This window comes from Homo sapiens, chromosome 6 (genome assembly GCF_000001405.40).
Source record: "Homo sapiens chromosome 6, GRCh38.p14 Primary Assembly".
NCBI classification, from domain to species: Eukaryota; Metazoa; Chordata; class Mammalia; order Primates; family Hominidae; genus Homo; species Homo sapiens.
In genome coordinates this window covers 119,714,475-119,736,138 of record NC_000006.12, presented here as the reverse complement: position 1 = coordinate 119,736,138, position 21,664 = coordinate 119,714,475, and the positions used below count along the sequence as shown (strand labels likewise).

Sequence of the window (21,664 nt, the reverse complement as noted above, 5' to 3'; positions counted from 1 at the left end):
CATTTTTTGATTTGTGGGGAAAAAAATCCCCTGAAGATTATCTAGCTTCTTCAGCAGTCCAGAACAGATTATTAACCATCTTCATAAATATCTTTCTTAAAGGGAAAATTAACGGCCCCCGTTTATTTCTTATGCTTTTAAAAAACACAACCTAATCTACACTTTTATACACCAATGTAATCTACATTTATGTAACATAGTTTGTTCATTTCCCAAACATTTTGGAAACCTATTAGCCCCACTTCTCTGTTTCATGTCCAGAGCCAAGGACAGCGTTGTGTAAAGCAATAAAGCCCATTTCTCTATCCTGCAACTGTGTGCATTTTTCAGCCAGCATGGCATCCAAGCAAGAGCAAATCCCTGGTCTGCAGCACTGCACTTTGTCATGCTATGAGTTCGCCTTAGGCAGCTCTTGGGACAGATCAGCGGGCCAAACACTGTCTTGTACTCTTCCCAAGTGTTAATCATCTTTCTAAATGTCACAGTCTCTGACATGCAGATAGGAAAGCAAAAGTCCACCAGCCAGGCTCCCTAGATCCGTTCACACCCCCAGTCCACTTTGTGTGAGGCTAAGTCACACCACTTGTTCACTTTCTCCTCCAGTATTAGCATCTTCATCTGGTGCACATGCTCTTCCCTCCAACTGCTAATTTACTCCCTTATCCTTCTGGAAAATCCATACTCCTGCAACCGAAGTATCTTCTCTTGGGTAAAGCTTTGCTGATGCCAAAGAGTAATGTTTATCTTGCCTTTTTCATTGCAACCATCAGATTCTATACTCACTTCCTTACTTGTACTAAAGCCCTTAACTGCACTGTACTATGGGGATTTGTTTGCATGCCCATTCCTCTCCCCTTCCCTCACCTTTGCCCAGATTTACACTTGGAGTCTAATCTCAATGTCACTCCTCGGGCAGGCTTTCCCTGAAGGTTCAAATTTGTCATCTTCTGTTAAATGCACTCATTCTGTTCTATTCTTTCTCTTTATGTAAAATCACATTTGTTGACATTTGCACCATATCTATTTCCCAAACCTTAAGTACTGTGACTGTGGGGACCTTGACAGCCTTCTTCACAATTACATTCCTAATGTCTGGGACAGCGTTGGGAATCTGTTAATTCTCAATTGTTTAAAAACATCAGATGAATTAATCAGTACAATGTAAGCTTCTTGAGAGCTGGGACTGCATCTTATTTACATTTTTAACCCCAGCCTACCCAAATCAATGAGCAACAGTTTTTTAAATCAATAACCAACTCAATAAATTGTATGTTCTTCATCTACGTCCTAAGAATATAGTCAATTTATAACAAAGTTGATTCTCAAGGAAACTGTGTAACCTAGTTTCCTAAAATTTATAAGAATCACAGACATGGAAGTGTAAAGCATTGGGAATTGAAACTTTAAATAAATTTATGTTTAGCTATTAGTGTCTTAAAAAGATGGTACCATGCCATAAAAAAACACTGGTTTGATGAATGTCCAACAGCTAAACAAAAGCCAATACATATTCATCCTTGTTTGTGACTAAGTATGGAAAAATTAAATCACAGGTAATTGAAGCTATTTCAAGCCTTCACTTCAGTTTTGTTTTCAATATTATTTTTTTACTTGTACTTGCATACTTTAAAAAATAATCAATTAGTCATAGTCAACATTTATGTGCAGAGACCATATTAGGCATTACGGAGAAATGCAAAAGAAACAGGAGGGAGACAGATGGCCCATGTAATATACATAATAAAATGTCCTGCTTTGCTCTGCCTTACTCAGGTATTATGCATTCAATCTGCAGTCCTTCATATTATTTTACATTGGTGTCTTTTTTTTTCCCTCTGATTAGACCTGAAGTTCCTTGACAACACATATTTTGACTTTTGCTTAACTCCTTTTTATCACCACATATTCTTCTTTCTTACCAAATCAATGCACACACTCACTCATCAAATATTTCTTGAGTGCCTGCTCTGTGGCAGTTACTCTGCTAGATTTAAGAAATATAGTAGAGAATCAGAGAGATAAGTCTCCTGCCCCCATGGAGCTATATTGAATATGTATGTGGAGAGTAGAGCTGGAGTAAAGATAAAACAAGTAAACAACTATGAAAATTTTAGCTAGCAAAAAGTGTTATAAAAACATATTAGCAGATTAAGGAGTTAGAAACAAATAACGATGATGGCTATTTAAGAAGAAATTACCAATAACATTTAAGCAAATACCTGATTGTATTGAAGAAAGTATTGGCAGATCTGGGTGGAGGAATGTTGTAAGCAGAGAAAACAAAAGGTACAATGGCTGTGAGGTGGTGATGAGCCCTGTGAGCTCGAAGACCTCAGAAGAATGGTGTGGCTGGAGCTAAGTGAATGAGGGACAGATGCGTATAAGATAGAGTTCAAAAGGGCCAGATCCTGTACAGCCAATATAGACTGTGGTAAGATATTTAAATTTTATATTTATGGAATAAGAAGTTTACAGACAGTTAGAGCAAGGGTGTCATGTAATCCATCTTGTATTTCAAGACTATTACTTTGGCTGCTTTGAGGGAAATGGGCATTGTAAAAGTGGAGGCTGACAGACAAGTTGGGAGGTATTGCAATGGACCAGGCAGGAGGTAGTAGTGCCTTGGATTGAGGTAGTAACTGTGAAGGTGATTAAAAATGGTAAGATTTTGAATATATTTTGAAAGTAGAGCCAGAAGGTAGGACTCATTCATGGTTTGCATGAAAGCCATGAGAAAATAAGAAGAATCAAAGAATCTAGGTTATTGGTCAGAAAAAAGGTGGATGATGAGGCAGTTGTAAGATGTGGATGACTAGGGGAGAAGTCTAGAATAGGGCTCCCAAGAGCAGATGCTCCATAAATGCTAACTTATAAGTTCTGAAACCGTCTATTATTCTCAGTAGCCATTTGTGACACCTGGTCAAAAAGTTTTATATTCCAGTGTAAGTATACTTTCAGTTTGTTATATTTTTATATTTATTTCTTATTTTGCGTGATCGCTCTGTGGAGCATGGAGTGGTTACAGTGGCCTGGAAACTATACATTCTATTTTAGTTAATTTATTGTTCTATAACTAAGTCTAAGAATAATTCAATATCTTTTGATATTGAATCCATAAGAATAGAAGTCAAAGAATGGTCCAGTATTGTTTAGATCCTGCCCATGTAGGATTAGACAATAATTCCTTCAGAACATGGAAGCTGTCTTTTTCATCTCAGCCCCATCAGTGCCCAGCTCAGTACCTGGCATGATTTGCGTATTGAGAAAGTGATGTTATAGTGAACTAAAAGACAACTGGTGACATATCTTCCAATTTTGCCTCCAACACTTCTACTAAATTTGAATTTAGATCAATTTATCTTATTCTTTGTTTTAATGTATACTTCATTCAAAAATAATTTAATTTTTTTCTAAACAACTAAATTTACAGCAATTTTTAGTCAACCATATGGTGACTTTTTTCAAGCTGTGCAGTTAATTATTTTTTTAACTAATTCACCTTATCCACTAAAATTTTAATTTGAACTCTCTCTTAACTGGTTAGAGTTTCTTCCATATCATAGCTAAAAATTTAAAAGGCTGTATTAGTTCGCTTTCATGCTGCTGATAAAGACATACCCCAAAGTGGGAACAAAAAGAGGTTTAATTGGACTTATAGTTCCATATGGCTGGGGAGGCCTCAGAACCAGGACAGGAGGCAAAAGGTACTTCTTACATGGCAGTGGCAAGAGAAAAATGAGGAAGAAGCAACAGCGGAAACCCCTGATAAACCCATCAGATCTCATGAGATTTATTCACTATCATGAGAACACCACGGGAAAGACCAGCCCCCATGATTCAATTATCTCCCGTTGGGTCCCTCCCACAACACGTGGGAATTCTAGGAGATACAATTCAAGTTGAGATTTAGGTGCAGACACAGCCAAACCATATCAGATGCATATATGAATGCTATAGTTTCTGTCACATTAAATATCTGAAAATAACTACTATTTGCATTCAGAAAAAAAATTTAGGTGAGTATAAAATTGGTAAAAATATAATATTATGGATAGACTAACATATACACATCAGGTATAAATATAAAAACATAAGTTTATATTTAAAGAGTTATGATAGTATTACTGATAAGTAATTTAACAGATACAGGTTTCGCCAAATCAAAAATGTCACTATTTATAAATGTACATTTACTATGTTCTACTAGGAGAGGTAAACATGCTGCCAATTAAACTATCATTTGTAAGGCAAATCTTTATTGAAGAGATTAAAATGTGAAAACAAAATATGTATTAGAATCAAAATATGGTATACGTATATACATCAACATTCGTATTCTATATGTAAAACAAATTATACACTGTGCTCTACAGTCTGCATTCTCTTCCCAGGTATGGAGGATACATTTACTATTCTGAGTAAAGTAAGGTAATAAATTATTAAGAAAAAGAAAAACTAATAAGTGAGGAACAGAAAATAGTAGAATTAACACTAAATACAGGAAATGCTTCTTTGTAAAGACTTGTATAATAAGCAAAATGCTGATAAGACTAGGCAAAAGAGAGAAAGATGAGCATATGATATTGTATATGAAAAGAGTATAACATCTAAAATATGAGATATGTACAAAACTGAATTAAAAAATATATTTTAATGATTAATTCAAACATGAATAGATCCCCCAAAAATGAAATAAAGTGAGAACTTGTCAAAGAAATAAATTGAAACTGAAATAAAAAATGAAATAAATTGAGAACATTGTCAAAGAAATATTCTATCCACCACTTTCCCATCACTTTCCAACCCCAGAGGTCCTAGATTTAAAAAAAGAAATTTCCAAAGCTTCTGTTTCAAGTTTTCTACAAACAAATCAGCATTTAAATTCAATTAATATTCAATTAAATTGTTACAGAGATTAAAGATATAAATTATAGTCCAGCATCCTTGCTTCAATGGGGAACTGCTCTTCTTCCAATTCACAAGCATATAACGAACCACAGTGAGTTGGTCTCAAAGTGACCAACGAGAATCTTTCTTCAAGGGTTTTGCAGAGGAATTAAAAAAAAAAAGAAAGTCAGTTCGTTTTTAACAATAGAGAAATGAGTCTAAAGAGCTGATGGTGGCCATGCTTTCAACTAGACTATGTCTAAATACTAAAACATTATATGGATATTTATATATTTATATGTATTATTTTTATATCTGTGCCTATATCTGTATCTATCTATCCTAATGTGAATAGTGAATATAAGGAATCAAAACTCTAAATAAAACATTAACTAATCAAATCCAGCTGTACATTTTTAAATTAATATTCTTTGTATTTATACCAGGAATACATAGGTAACATATGGGAATTTATTAATCAAATAAATATCATGACTAAGTTAAATAAGAAAATCTCAAATAATTTTAATACATTGAAAAAAAAACATTAAATAAATTTAACACCCACTCCCAATGGCAAATCTCTTAAAAACATGAATAGAAAGACTTGATATATTAAAATCAATCACAACCCTTCTAGCCAACTTCCTATTTAAACATTGCATACATGACCATTAATACCAGGTAGTGGCATCAATGCCAAAAATAATAATCATGTTTCCCACAAATAATGCACACATGATTATTCTGAATCAGATAGCCAATGCAATTAGAGAAGAAAATACAATATGAACAATGAAAAATACAAAAATATAGGAAAAATCTAAATATTTACATACCTACAAAAAAGATGAAGAAACCAACTAAGAAGCTATTAAAAATAGAAAATAAAATAATTGAAATGGACATATAAGCCAAAAAATTAATGTTTTCAAAATTAGAAAACTTAAAGCAACATACAATAGTAACAAGAAACATAAAAATAAGGAATTAACTTCACAGAAAATTAGATCACCTATATGAAGAAAATTATAATATTTTACTCAGAAGCATATAAGCAAAATGAATATGTAGAAAACACACAGATTATGAGAGAGAAAGGCACATCTTTATAAAGACAAATTCTTCCAAAAATTAAGCTATGAATGTATTCATTTTCTGTCAGAATACTAATATTTTTTCAGTGAATTGATGAAAATTATCTTAAAGTTCTCTAGGTACCCAGGAAAACCATGAAAAGGAAGGCTAATGAGGAAGGACTTATCCTTCCAGGTTCTAAAGCATAGTCTCAATTTATCATAATCAAGAAAGTATGGCACCTTCAAAAGAGAGAACAGCAACACAAATATATAAAAATTCGGTACAAGATAAAAATGGCTTCTTAAATTGACACAGGAAAAGAATAATTTAATGATGGAGTTGGGACAATTGTTGAGCAATATAGAATATAATCAGATAGGTTCCGCTCTATTCTACCCAAAAATAAATTTAAAAAGAATCACAAATTAAATTTAAAAGTAAAGCCATGTAAGTGCTATAGGCATATAGAGATAAATATTTACATAGTGTAACACATTATACAACTTTATATTACACACCATTATATTATAGATGCAAAAATGTAAACATGACATGAAAAGCAGTAATTATAAAAGAAAAATGTTTGAGTTCTCATAAGTTAGAACAAGTATTGGATGTATATTAAATATGACAATGTTAATGTATGTGCAAAGATTACGTGCATCTATAGCATGCTCTCATTTTGAAAAAATCAGTACATATATTTGAATGATATAACTATTTTATAGTTACAAAGCCTAATTTCTAAAAATAATTAATGTCTAATTCTGGATCTCCTCCAGCAAACCTTATGTCAAGCAATTTAATTTAGCACTTAGATACCCAGACAGTTGGTCTGATAAACAAGATGGCTACTAAGCGACTATGGTATTCTGTAGACAAACGGAAGATTCATGTCCCAGGTGAGAACTGCTAAATGTCATCACCCTACTCAGAATGACATCCAATTTAAAACTTAAGAACTGTTTATTTCTAAAACATTCCACTTAATGTTTTCAGGCTACAGTTGACCACAGGTAACTGAAACTGCAGAAAACGAAAGTGAGGAAAGCAAAACTGAGAATAAGAGAGGACTACTGCACACACACTTATAAAATTGTTAATATAAAAATAGATGTATATACAGTTATAGATATATAGTGATAAAAATTAGCCTGGAGATGATAATTATTTAAGTATTAATAGAGGTTAAATGTTTCAAACTTGCCCAACATTTATTACATTCATAGATAAATTCTAAAAACATTTTAAAACATGATTTTCTAAATTTACAGCTGTCCAGGCAATCTTCTAATTCACATGGGTAACAATGTACGTTTCAAAAGGGTTGAGAAGATTGTTCAATGACGTAGGTTTATCTTATTCATACATGGCTTAAGCCTGGCTTTGAAAAACTTTTTAGAAGTAAAAACAGACTATATCTGAATTTGTGCAATTATGTGTTTGATTTAGCAAAGTAGAAAGAATTCATATAGCTAAATCCTGCTCACTTCTCCAAATATTAAAGCCACTGGGGCCCAAAATAGCACAAAGACATGGAGGAAGAAATAATTCACGCTCTCTTTGTGACTGACAGTTAAGCTGGGACATCAGTTTTCTCCTACTCTCTGAGACTGCCACCAACTCTCCTGGTTCTCAGGACTTTGAACTCAGACTGGAATTTACATCTCTGGCTCTCACAGGTCTCCAGCTTGCTGTCTGCAGATCCTAGGAACTTCTCAACCTCCATAATTGTGGGTCCCCAACCCCCAAGCCACAGATCTGTACCAGTCTGTGTCCTGTTAGGAACTGAGCTGCATAGCGGGAGGTGAGCAGCAGCAATTAAGGAGATCATCACGGTGGATGAGAGGCAGGACTAGATTGCAGCTCCTACTCAGACAGAGCGGCATGCGGAGGCTCGCATCGTGAATTTTAGCTCCAGAATGACTGCAAGAACAAACCATGAATCCCCAGAGGACCCACAGACCCTCTGAAGGAAGCAGAGTGATCCTGCACGACCTGGGAGACACCCCAGATACTGTGAGTGCCCAAACTGTGGAAGTAGAAAAGGGAGATCCTCTGCTCCTGAACACACACCCCTACTGGGGAAACGGAAGGTTTGCAGAAGTTTCTGACCTTACCTGGAGCTGAGTCAATTTAGACAGCCAAGCAAAATACAAGGGTAGAAGAAGCAGCAGGAAGGGTCCTGGGAACTCATTGGGTCCCCAAGCAGGCCATTCATGCCTGGCACCACAGGGATCCTTCAGGAGGGTGTCCAGAGGTATGGGGAAAATGCCACAGGGAGAAGGAAGTCTCCAGCTGAACTTTGTAACAATTTGAACCAGGTGAGAAGCCTCCTGGCCAGAACTTGCTGGAGGGCATGAATCCAGCCAGCAGATTCCACAGGTGGGGGAAGAACTAAAGTCCTTTTCTTTCACAGCTGGGAGGCGGGTAGCCTGGGGAAAGTTCTCAAGCCCTGCTTGCCTGCTGCCTGGAAACAGACTCTGTGCTGTTGGAGGTGGCACAGTGGGAGTGAGACCAGCTCTTCAGATTGTGTGGGAGCTGGGTGAAGCCTGTGACTGCCAGCTTTCCCCTACTCCCCTGACAACCTGCATGACTCAGCAAAGGCAGCAATAATCCTCCTAGGTACACAACTCTGTTGACCTGGAAAACTCACCCCCAACTCTGACAGCAGCCACAGCAAGACCCACCAAAGCAGAGCCTGAGCTCAGACACGCCTAGCCCCACCCCCACCTGACGGCCCTTCCCTACCCACCCTGGAAGCTGAACACAAAGGGCATATACTCTTGGGAGTTCTAGGACCCTGCTCAACCCCAGTTCCTCTCCATATTAGCAAAGCTGATGCTCTCTGGAAAGCGCTACCTCCTAGCAGGAGGTCAACTAGCACAAAAATAGAACATTAAACCACCAAAGCTAAGAACCCTTACAGAGTCCATTTCACCCCACTGCCACCTTCACTGGATCAGGTGCTGGTATCCATGGCTGAGAGACCAATAGACAGTTCACATCACAGGACTCTGTGCAGACAACTCCCAGTACCAGCACAGAGCCTGGCAGACTTGCTGGCTGGCCAACCCAGAAGAGAGATAACAATCACTGCAGCTCAGCTCCCAGGAAGCTACATCCATAGGAAAAGTGGGAGAGCACTACATCAAGGGAACACATCATGGAGCAAAAGAATCTGAAAAACAGCCTTCAGCCCTAGACCTTCCCTCTGACAGAGTCAAGCCAAATGTGAAAAAAAAAAAAAAACACACACACACACACAGAAAGCCAACTCTGGTAATATGACAAAACACCCCCAAAAAATCACACTAGCTCACCAGCAATGGATCCAAACCAAGAAGAAATCCCTGATTTACCTGAAAAAGAATTCAGAAGGTTAGTAATTAAGATAATCGGGGAGGCACCAGAGAAAAACAAAGTCCAATGCCAGGAAATTCAAAAAATGATACAAGAAGTAAAGGGAGAAATATTCAAGTAAATAATAGCATAAAGAAAAAACAATCAAAACTTCAGGAAACATTGGACAGACTTATAGAAATGCAAAATGCTCTGGAAAGTCTCAGCAATAGAACTGAACAAGTAGAAGAAAGAAATTCAGAGCTTGAAGACTAGGCCTTCAAATTTACCCAATCTAACACAGACAAAGAAAAAAGAATAAGAAAATCTGAACAAAGCCTCCAAGAAGTCTGGGATTATGTTAAATGACCAAACCTAAGAATAATCGGTGTTCCTGAGGATGAAGAGAAATCTAAAATTTTGGAAAACATATTTGGGGGAATAATCGAGGAAAAGTTCCCCGGCCTTGCTAGAGACCTACACATCCAAATACAAGAAGCACAAAGAACACCTGTGAAATGAATCACAAAGAGATCGTTGTCTAGGCATATTGTCATCAAGTTATTTAAAGTTACAACAAAGGAGAGAATCTGAAGAGCTCTGAGACAAAAGCACAAGGTAACCTACAAAGGAAAGCCTATCAGATTAACAGCAGAATTCTCAGCAGAAACCCTATAAGCTAGAAATGATTGGGGCTCTATTTTTAGCCTCCTCAAACAAAATAATTATCAGCCAAGAATTTTGTGTCCAGTAAAACTAAGCATTATGTATGAAGGAAAGATACAGTCTTTTTCAGAAAAACAAATGGCTAAGAGAATTTGCCACTACCAAGCCACCAAGACAAGAACTGCTAAAAGGAGCTCTATCTAAATCTTGAAACAAATCCTGGGAACACATCAAAACAGAACGTCTTTAAAGCATAAATCACACAGGACCTATAAAACAAAAATACAAGTTAATTAGCAAAAACAACAACAACAACAACAAAAAGAGGTACACAGGTAACAAATAGCACGATAAATGGAATGGTACCTCACATCTCAGTACTGACATTGAATGTAAATGGCTTAAATGCTTCAATTAAAAGATACAGAACTGCAGAATGGATAAGAACTCACCAACCAACTATCTGCTGTCTTCAGGAGACTCACCTAGCACACGAAACCTCACATAAACCTAAAGCAAAGGGGTAAAGGGATTTCACACAAATAGACACCAAAAGTGAGCAGGGTTAGCTATTCTTATGTCAGACAAAGCAAACTTTAAAGCAACAGCAGTTAAAAGAGACAAAGAGGGACATTATATAATGGTAAAAGGCCTTGTCCAACAGGAAGATATCACAATCGTAAATATATACGCACCTAACACTGGATCTCCCAAATTTATAAAATAATTACGAATAGACCTAAAATTGAGATAGACAGCAACAAAGTAATAGTGGCAGACTTCAATATTCCACTGACAGCACTAAACAGGTCATCAAGACAGAAAGTCAACAAAGAAACAATGGGTTTAATCTATACCTTGGAACAAATGGACTTAACAGGTATGTACAGAACATTTTATCCAACAACCACAGAATACACACTTTATTCAACAGTGCATGGAAGTTTCTTCAAGATAGACCATATGATTGGCCACAAAGTTTGCCTCAATAAATTTTAAAAAATTGAAATTATATCAAGCACTCTCACAGAACACAGTGGAATAAAACTGTAAATCAACTCCAAAAGGAATCCTCAAAACCATGCAAATGCATGGAAATTAAATAACCTGCTGCTGAAAGATCATTAGGGAAAAAACAAAAATCAAGATGGAAATTAAAAAATTCTTCGAACTGAATGACAATAATGATGCAATCTATCAAAACCTCTGGGATACAGCAAAGGTGGTGCTAAGAGGAAAGCTCATAGCCCTAAGTACCTAAGTACCTAAACTGACCTTCTAAGGTCACATCTCAAGAAACTAGAGAAACAAGAACAAACCAAACCCAAACCCAGCAGATGAAAGGAAATAACCAAGATCAGAGCAGCACTAAATAAAACTGAAACAAACAAAAATACAAAAGATGAATGAAACAAAAAGCTCATTCTTTGAAAAGATAAATAAAATTGATAGTGCATTAGCAAGATTAACCAAGAAAAGAAGAGAGAAAATCCAAATAACCTCATTAAGAAATGAAACAGGAGATTTACATCTGTCATCACTGAAATACAAAGGATCATTCAAGGCTACTATGAACACCTTTAGACATAAACTAGAAAACCTAAAAGAGATAGATAAATTCCTGGAAGAATACAGCCCTCCTAGCTTAAATCAGGAAGAACTGGATACCCTGAACAGACCAATTACAAGCAGTGAGATTGAAATGGTAATTTAAAAATTACAAACAGAAAAGGCCAGGACCAGACGGATTCACAGCAGAAGTCCACAAGACATTCAAAGAAGAATTGGTAACAAATCTTTTGACACTATTCCACAAGATAAAGAGGAAACCCTCCCTAATTCATTCTACGAAGCCAGCATACCCTAATACCAAAACCATGAAAAGACACAGTCAAAAAAGAAAACTACAGACCAATATCTCTGATGGACATAGACACTAAAATCCTTAACAAAATACTAGCTAACTAAATCCAACAACATATCAAAAGATAACCCACCATGAACAAGTGAGTTTCATACCAGGGATGCAGGGATGGTTTAACATATGCAAGTCAATAAAACACCACATAAACCAGAATTAAAAACAAAAATCACATCATCATCTCAATAGATGCAGAAAAAGCATTTGACAAAATCCAGCATCACTTTACGATAAAACTCTCAGCAAAATCGGCATACAGGGGACATATCTTAATGCAATAAAAGCCATCTATGACAAACCCACAGCGAAAATAACACTGAATGGGGAAAAGTTGAAAGCATTCCTTCTGAGAACCGGAACAAGTCAAGGATGCTCACTCTCACTCCTCTTCAACATAGTACTGGAAGTCCTAGCCAGAGCAATCAGGAAAGAGAAATAAATAAAGGGCATCCAAATTGGTAAAGAGGAAGTCAAACTGTCACTGTTCGCTGACAATATGATCATTTATTTAGAAAACCCTAAAGACTCTTCCAGAAAGCTCCTAGAAGTAACAAAAGAATTCGGCAAAGTTTCTAGACACAAGATTAATGTACACAAATCAGTAGCTCTTCTATACACCAACAGCAACCATGCAGAGAATCAAATCAAGAAGTCAACCCCTTTTACAATAACTGAAAATAAAAAACTTAAGAATACTTAACCAAGGAGGCAAAAGACCTATACAAGGAAAACTAAAAAACCCTCCTAAAACCCTCCTGAAAGAACTCATAGATGACACAAACAAATGGAAACACATCCCATGCTCATGGATAGGTAGAATCAATATCGTGAAAATGACCATACTGCCAAAAGCAATCTACAAATTCAATGCAGTCCCCATCAGAATACCACCATAATTCTTCACAGAATTAGAAAAAACAATTCTAAACTTCATATGGAACCAAAAAAGAGCCCACATACCCAAAGCAAGACTAAGCAAAAAAACAAATCTGGAGGCATCACACTACCTGATTGCAAACTATACTATAAGACCATAGTCACCAAAACAGCATGGTACTGGTATAAATATAGGCACATAGACCAATGGAGCAGAATAGAGAACCCAGAAATGAACCCAAATACTCACAGCCAACTGATCTTCGACAAAGCAAACAAAAACATAAAGTGAGGAAAGGACACCCTTCTCAACAAATGGTGCTAGGATAATTGGCTAGCCACATGTAGGAAAATGAAACTGGATCCTCATCTCTCAGCTTATACAAAAATCGACTCAAGATTGATTAAGGACTTAAATCTAAGACCTGAAACTGTAAAAATTCTAGACAAAAACATTGGAAAAACCATTCTAGACATTGACTTAGGCAAGGATTTCATGATCAAGAACCCAAAAGCAATGATAAATAGCTAGGACTTAAACTAAAGAGCTTTTGCACGGCAAAAGGAACAGTCCACAGAGTAAACAGATGACCCACAGAGTGGGAGAAAATCTTCACAATCTATACATCTGACCAAGGACTAATATCCAGAATCTACAACGAACTCAAACAAATCAGTAAGAATAAAACAAACAATCCCATCAAAAAGTGGGCTAAGGACATGAATAGACAATTCTCAAAAGAAGATATACAAACGGCCAACAAACATATGAAAAAATGCTCAACATCACTAATGATCAGGGAAATGCAAATCAAAACCACAGTGCGATACCACCTCACTCCTGCAAGAATGGTCATAATCAAAAACTCAAAAAACAGTAGATATTGGTATGGATGTGGTGATCAGGGAACACCTCTGGTGGGAATGTCAACTAGTACAGCCACTATGGAAAACAGTGTGGAGATTCCTTAAAGAACTAAAAGTAGAACTACCATTTGATCCAGCAATCCCACTACTGGGTATCTACCCAGAGGAAAAGTCATTATACGAAAAAGATACTTGCACACACGTTTATAGCAGCACAATTTGCAATTGCAAAGTTGTGGAACCAACCCAAATGCCCATGAATCAATGAGTGAATAAAGAAACTGTAGTATACATATATATATAGTATATTATATATAGTATATACTATAGTAGGTATATATATGGTAGGTATATATATAAATATATATATGGTGTATATATATATAGTAGGTATATATATGGTAGGTGTGTGTGTATGTATGTATATATATATATATATATATATATATATATATATATATATATATATATATATAATGGATTACTACTCAGCCATAAAAAGGAATTAACAGTGACCTGGATGAGATTGGAGACTATTATTCTAAGTGAAGTAACTCAGGAATGGAAAACCAAACATCGTATGTTCTCCCTGATATGTGGGAGCTAAGCTATGAGGATGCAAAGGCATAAGAATGATACAATAGACTTTGGGGACTTGGGGGAAAGGTTGAAAGGGGAATGACGGATGAAATACTACAAATAGGGTGCAGTGTATACTGCTTAGGTGATGGGTGCACCAAAATCTGACAAATCACCACTAAAGAACTTACTTATGTAACCAAACACCAATAACCTATAGAAAAATAAAGAATAAAAAGAAATTAACAAAAAAATAAAAAAATAAAGCCACCAGGCAGTTAAGGCAGTTACCAGGTATTATTTAATTCCTACCATATGTTGCAGTCAAAACCCTCTTTTGCATCATTTTGATATAAGGAAGTATAAAATATGCATACATTACTAATGTAAAACTAACATTTGGTTTTTGGTAAGTGCTTATCAATTCAGAATAGTACTAGGAACACTTTTCCTTTAAAATTGATTGTGTTTGATCAGAGCAGAGCAGTCCACTGATTAAAAATCTTAAGTTCCCCAAGGTTAAGGAAAAAAATCACGATTTACTTACCATACCCACCACAAATCCAAAGTTGCAAATATTATAGGTGGCTTTATTAAATGAGTGGTAATAATGAGATTAGCTAACCATAACTCAGAAATTTTGAGACCCCAGAGTGCTGATTTAGCACATACAGCTTTCCTGTTATGTTTTAAGAATCATCATATTTTCAAACTGAATAATTTGATTTCTTGCAGGAAATATACCAGGATTGCATCGCAGAATAACCAATGATGTTAAGAATTGGCGCAATCCTTTACAATTTCAAACTTCTAACCTTAGTTTCCCAAAGGACATTGCTTATAAGAAAAAAAGGGAAAGCAAGAAATAACCCAGTACCCTGACTTTGAGATTCTTGAAATTCACAAGAGCTGCAGAAAATTCTAATCAAAGGCAGTTGATATGAAGAATAGAGCCCAGGAGCAAGGAAATTACTCAAGACCAAGTACCCCTACATAGCCAGACCTTAAGTTGCTTGAGAAGCATAAGGCCACCCTCTTGTACCACAATTCACTCTGCCCTGACCCCATTACCAGGGTGTAAGCAGAAAACATTACAAGGTATGTTCCAGTTAAATGCCACTAGTCACGATAAGAGGCTGAAGTAGGGGGATCGCTTGAGACCAGGAGTTTGAGGCTACAGTGAGCTGTGATCGCCACGATGTGCCACTGCACTCCAGCCTGGGTGACAGTGACACTATCACAAAAAAAGAAAAGAAAAGAAAGATCTACTAGACAAAGAATGTCGCAAATCTTGTTGTGTGTGTGTGTGTGTGTGTGTGTGTGTGTGTAATTCCTATGTCCATATAGCATTTTAACAAAGCATCTTAAAATAAGACCAAGTATTAACATTCAAAAGCATAAATATACACACTTATGTATGTTAAGAAAAATGGGTTTAATTCAATAAAATATATGTTTACAAAATAATTAGAAGTTTGGGAAGAGCACATTCTAAGCTGGGTCTCCAGGAACAAGCCCCAAACACTGCACAACTGAACCACTAGGAGGACTGCAGATTTTGCCAAAATTGGAAGATAAAAAGCAAGAGGCCATCACCGGTATTGTCAAGCCAAGAACATTTTGCTATAGCTGTGGCCTGGAAATGCGAAAGCTGCCACTGCTTCTGCTGCCACCTTTACTAACTAGAGATGAATGCTGGAACACTATTGAAGGAAAACCCCATAGCTTTGCAACCTATTTTCTAGAAGAAAAAAACAAAAGCTGCAGGAATATGACTTCCATATTAGCCCCACTTTCTGAAGCTTGAATAAATACTTCTAAATGATAGGACGCAATTTGCTTCCAAACCTTAGCATTGAGGAACCCTGGGAAGTATGGATTTTTTTTTTGGCTCCCCAGTCTCTGTAGAATAAGAAGGTCAGACCAAAGAAGCTGGAAATGGATGCTAAGGCCAAACAAATTTACTACATTCATCATAGGCAGGAGTTGGTATTTCCATTTCACAGATAGAGACACTGAGGTTCAGAAAAATCTAAGTGACTTGTGCAAGACACAGTGTCAAATAAATTGAATTACCAGGAATAGAATCTAGGAGTTTTTATGCCAAGTCTGGCATATTTCTCAGTTTACCATTCTGTATTAACTGATTATAAAATATTATAAAACTGGAAAAGGAAATAAATGATCACATCTACCAAGGAGAGCTAACATTTCCTAACATTTATTTGCTCATCTATTAGGCTATTATTATGTTTCAGAGAAAAGGTCAACTTAGGAAGGATCTCTAGATAGGTAGCAATCCTTCTCAATGGTTGTTAAGCAGATAGGGAGTAGAAATAAAGCAAGTGTGCAAACTGTGAGCTTTTTTCTTCCTTCAAAAATTCAAAATGCGCTCAGAGCCTACAGACAGAAAAAGGCAGCTGAAAAGGCAAATTTAATGTTCTTCATTTTTATCCCCACCCCATCCCCCAGAAAAAATTAACATTATTTGCAAAGATTTATAAAATGTCAAAGAATAAAAGCAAAACTTATTTATGTTATCTGAATTAAACTCAGAATTGCTATTTCAGCCGAATGTAATATATAAAGTAATTTAAATAAATACTGATGAAATTATCTCTTAAAGAGATACTGGCCTTAAAGATGTAACTGTACAGCTACCTAATATAATTTGGCTTGCTTCTCAGCTTTCTAATATATCTCCTTTTTATAATTGGTTCTTTTTATTAAAAATGAATTGTTATCCATGTCTTCAGATGTGGATCTTAATTTAATCAAATGTGAAGTTTTAGGTTAATTTTGAGCATATTCAAACTCATCCCCAATTCAGTAAGAGACATGCAGAAAATGGTTTTGCTGTTGATTTTTAAATCTCCAAGGCAGCATTCAGTGCTCATTTTTGTGACTACCACTTTAAGGGGAAGCATTTTGGAAAAGGCCTCCTGAGAGCATTTATAATAAATCTTTCCTGACTTTCTTTAAAGCAGGAAAGAAAAATCCATTTAAGACAATGCTTTAAGGCAAAATGTTACCTGACTTCAGATTCAAACTTTTCATTTATTAGGGAAGAAGTTAAAGTCTCCAGGGGGTGCTGAATCAGTCTATTCTGAGAAGTAGAAATGGAGAAGCTACTTTAGGTAAATGGTGTCTAACTCTGGCAACAGAGACAAGTCTCTGCCCTACCAACATTCCCTATCCTGGAAGTACCACAACTCTACTCCACAGGGAAAGCATATTGATTCCTTAATTGAGAAATAAGAAGACAATGAAGAAGAATTTCAGCAGCTTCTATTTATTGAGTCTCCCTAAATGCCAGCCATGTTGGATGTTTTATATATATTATCCCCCTTAATCCTAAAAACATAACTATAAGTGTTAATCATCCCCTGTTACAGAAAAGAAAGCCAAAGCTTACAGGAGCTAAAAATGTGCCCAATGTCACACAGCTAGTAAGTGAAGAAAGCAAGATCAACTAACTTCAAAGTTTGCAACTTCGTTCAACTAGCTTCGAAGTTTGCATGCCCTCCCCCTCAGCATAGCAATGTGAAATCCAGTAACTCAAGTAAAGGCCATTTTCTATTTAAAAGAGCTTCTCAAATAGAGATAGTCTGAGGCAAGCAATGTAGATTGACACAATGACCAAAAACCTACACTGTGTAAAACTGCAACACCACAGAGAATGCTTTGCAATCATATCTAGATGTCTATAGCAATCAATGTAAAGGTTATTCAAGTTCAGCAAACTTGCCTCTAGCAAAATACAGCTAAATTTGTTCTACTTATGGGAAATAGAAAGTAAAATTTCCTGTTTCCTCATTTTGCAGGTCTACGCCCAGTTTGAATTTTCACATTCACAGAGTTAAGGAATACATCATAGAAAGGAATGCACACCTGTGACTAAACAAGTTACAGTTTACAATCAACATCCCGTCCACACATCTATGTATTACAAGGTTTTCTTCTGTGCATTATTGATTTTCTGTGTATTACCAAAAAGATTGTATTACTGATACCCGAGTGTCAGTAGTCATTCTCATGCCCAAGTTATATTTTCCCTGTAGTCTCTATCATACCATTTAATATGTGTCTTAAACACATTACACCTTTTATAATTTGGGGCATAGAGATCAATCTATTTCGCTCTGTTTTGGAGGCAGGTATTTCTTCACCAGTAACGCTTTTTTCGTTTATTTAATTGCACACTTTTCCTTTCTACTAATCCACCAAACGTCTGCAACTTATTGTTACTCAGACATTCAAAGTCAGATGTGATATCTGAAGCATTGTAACTGAATTGTGTGGGAAGAAATATTTAGGGCTGTGATTCTTCTTCATAAAGATCTTCAAAAAACATTCAGCTTTTCTGCTGCCACATCATATTATAAATTAATTTTGCTTCCAAGTAATGCTCACCTTAATTTTCTTTTACTTCACCTTCTAACAGGATCTCTTGGCTTGAACTCAGGTGCACTAGCAACGATCTCTCTGGAGGCTTTCATATGCTACAACCATATATAATCACCTTCACCGTCAGAATACTTAAAGACACCCAAGCGGTTTCTAGTCATATATCCCGATTTGCCTGGGGACCATGAGGCCCACAGGAAAGAATTTCTGGCATACCAAGGTAGGATATGGCATGGAAAGGGATTTCTTATTGAGATACAATGAGCCTGAAAGAATACATTCTCCACAAGGAGCAATACTAAAAGGATTCCCGAATGCAATAGGACTCTCTCCTTGAATTCACCACTACTGCATAGACAGCTCCTACCATCACTACAACATGCAAATTATTCTCTTTGCCACCCTCCACTCTCCACTGACCCAGATCCATTCTCTCTGTGTTCTGTGTATGCCTGAAAGGCTGAACCCTACAGAGTGCATGGCATGGGCTAATGAAAAGCCTAACAAGGAATCAGAAGGAAGGAAGAGAGAGGTCAGGCCAGTTATTGGCTTGCTCATGCCTGCTTTAATGCTAGGATTCTTACATTGGATGTGACTCTCTCTGATTTCAGCTCCTGCCAGGCAGCGCCTCCTCCAAGGCTTTGGCTCACAGGGCTTTGGTGAACTGTTCCCCACCCCTTCAGGTTTAGGAATGGTAACACCTTGATGTTGCCAGTCAGGGGGTCCCTCTGCTTCTCTTGTTTGTTTTCTAATCCAAATGCCACATATCTCTAGCTAGTACACTCATTAAATTCTCCTCAGAATTCCATTAGTGTGCCTTCTGTCTCCTGCTGGGCCCCTGGCAATGCGCGAATTGGTACCAGGAGTAGCCTCAAGAAACAGCCCCTCACGTTAAAATTCTAGTGTGGATTCCACACATATTATTTTATAATATACAGACGATTTCCTTGCTGGGGTTTGGGGAGAGGGCGTATAGAGTAATCAGTGGAGAGCAATGCTTTGGAAGATTATGTGTGTGCCATTTGATCACTATAGTAATAAAGATTACAGGCTGCTTCTCACTCTGTTAAAGAGCTTACAAAAATAAAAATATCAGCTTAGTGCCTTTAATACTCAACTCAAAGCATGAGGGAGAACTAATCAGCTTTAAATGTATCCCTTGTCTTGTATATCTGCAGAACAAACATAATTGATGATCAGGACCAAGATGTGATGGTATGAGCAGAGTTTCAATGTTGGTAAATATATCAATTCAGTGGGCTTCAAAAGTTCATGAAAAAATTAGGGTTACTAGCCCATGTCAAGTCTCAGGGTCCTAGTACATTGTAAACAGGGACCCAGTTGTAACCTTAGAAACTTGTTATAATGAGCCACTAGTTGGAAAAAGAGGACCCCAGAGACTTGAGATGGGGTCCTTAACTTAAATTCTTAGAGGCCCGTGAATCTTTTTTGGGAGTTGAAGCAATCCTCCAACCTGTCTGCAAAAACTACTTTCAGTGACTTCATCAGCAGCACTTACCTTGCAAGGAGATTCTCATTCTCAAGGTTAACCCCAATCATCACTCATTGCTTACATAGCAAGAAGGAGAAGTGCAAGGTATCCTCAAGGATGCGATACATTCTAAACCAGAGATGTGTTAGGACATTGACAACTGGAAAAGTGTGTTTAGAAATTTATTCTGAAGGGGTTAAATCAAGGAGAGAAAAATATGAGATTAGTTCAGGAAGAATTTATTAATATGAGAAAACTCACCTGAAATTCTAGATATAATTTGTCAGTGGAAGAATCTGGGATGGGCTCTAACACTTTGGTGAAACCTGTGCTCAGTGGTGACCTACAATAATGAGGTTGAGATGCTGGGACTACTCTGGCACAAAGAGGAACATCCAAAGGCATAGGGAGGTGAACATTCTGGAGTGAATCCATTCTATGTAACTTATTCCAACACACCATCACTATAGCTACAAAAAGGTTGAAGAATACTTCCTTCTCCAAAGCAATAAGAATACTTTGGTATTAAGCAATCACATCTCCTAAGAGTTCTGTGATGACTACTTTCTGTAGACCAGAGATGCTGCGAAAATTTGGGCTCTCTAATCTTAATGAGAATTATGGGGTCTTGAAGTGTTAGAGGCCAGGTGGCAGTGCTCAGTTTTGGGCATGAGACTGGAACAATTACCCCCAACAAACCACAAGGACAGAATGGTAATACAAGTGTTTTGACCCACATGGATTTTTTTATTGTGGCTAACATTTTTAGGAGGACCTTACAAATGAAACAGATTGTCAGCCTTCTAAAATACTACTTGGTCTATGTTATCAGACCATTTCTTCTTCTAGTAGGCAATACATCAAATCAAAGTGCTATAGTAGGAGTTCATGACCTCATACCCCGTTCATAAACCCAGAGCCTTCTGAGATGGAGGCTAGCTTCTGTTAAGGAATCACCCTGAAATGTAGACACAAGGATACACTGTAATTCTTCCTCCGAGCCTTCCCCGAGAGAACCCATGGCCATTTAACAAGGTGAGAGTGAACTAGGAAAGAAAAGTAATGATACTACCTAGGAGCCATTAGTTATTGCCCCAATTTAGCACTAATTAGTATGGGCACAAAGTCATAAAATAAATGAATGGAGTCTTGGCCTATATCTGTCTTAGAGTGGTTGATGGGCTACCTCCCTTCCTAGTCATTATTTTCTGTGTTCATGGCTGACTACCTGAAATAATCATACTTAGCAACTAGAAACATCCTCACATCGGTTTCCTGACTGATGCCATTGATGTCATTATGTTGAGAAGAGCCCACTGGAGCCCCTGGAATTTTCCCTGTCAAATAATAAACAGAAAGCAATATCATATCCCTGGGGGAAAAATTGCAGAAACTAGTGCTACTATCAAGGATTGAAAGAAACAGGAATGGTGATTTGATTTCTATCCCATCCTCATTTAGCTCTTTAGTTTGGCTGATACAAAAGCCAAATGGATACTTTAGAATGACCCTGAAATATCGGTACCACCAACACGGCTGCTGGCTGC

General features: G+C 36.9%; 1 long non-coding RNA gene across 1 annotated transcript in view, besides 1 other annotated feature; it reads right to left on the bottom strand.

Moving 5' to 3' along the window:
- Positions 1-21,664, bottom strand: part of LOC105377975 (uncharacterized) — a 295,277-nt gene that overhangs the window by 108,946 nt on the left and 164,667 nt on the right. The window lies entirely within an intron of this gene.
- Positions 8,170-9,004: an enhancer, noted in NCBI's record as "H3K27ac hESC enhancer chr6:120048273-120049107 (GRCh37/hg19 assembly coordinates)". NCBI's record gives its function as "activates a minimal SCP1, AML or CMV promoter by ChIP-STARR-seq in primed H9 embryonic stem cells {active_cell/tissue: H9 hESC(primed)}" and the evidence as "EXISTENCE:reporter gene assay evidence [ECO:0000049][PMID:30033119]".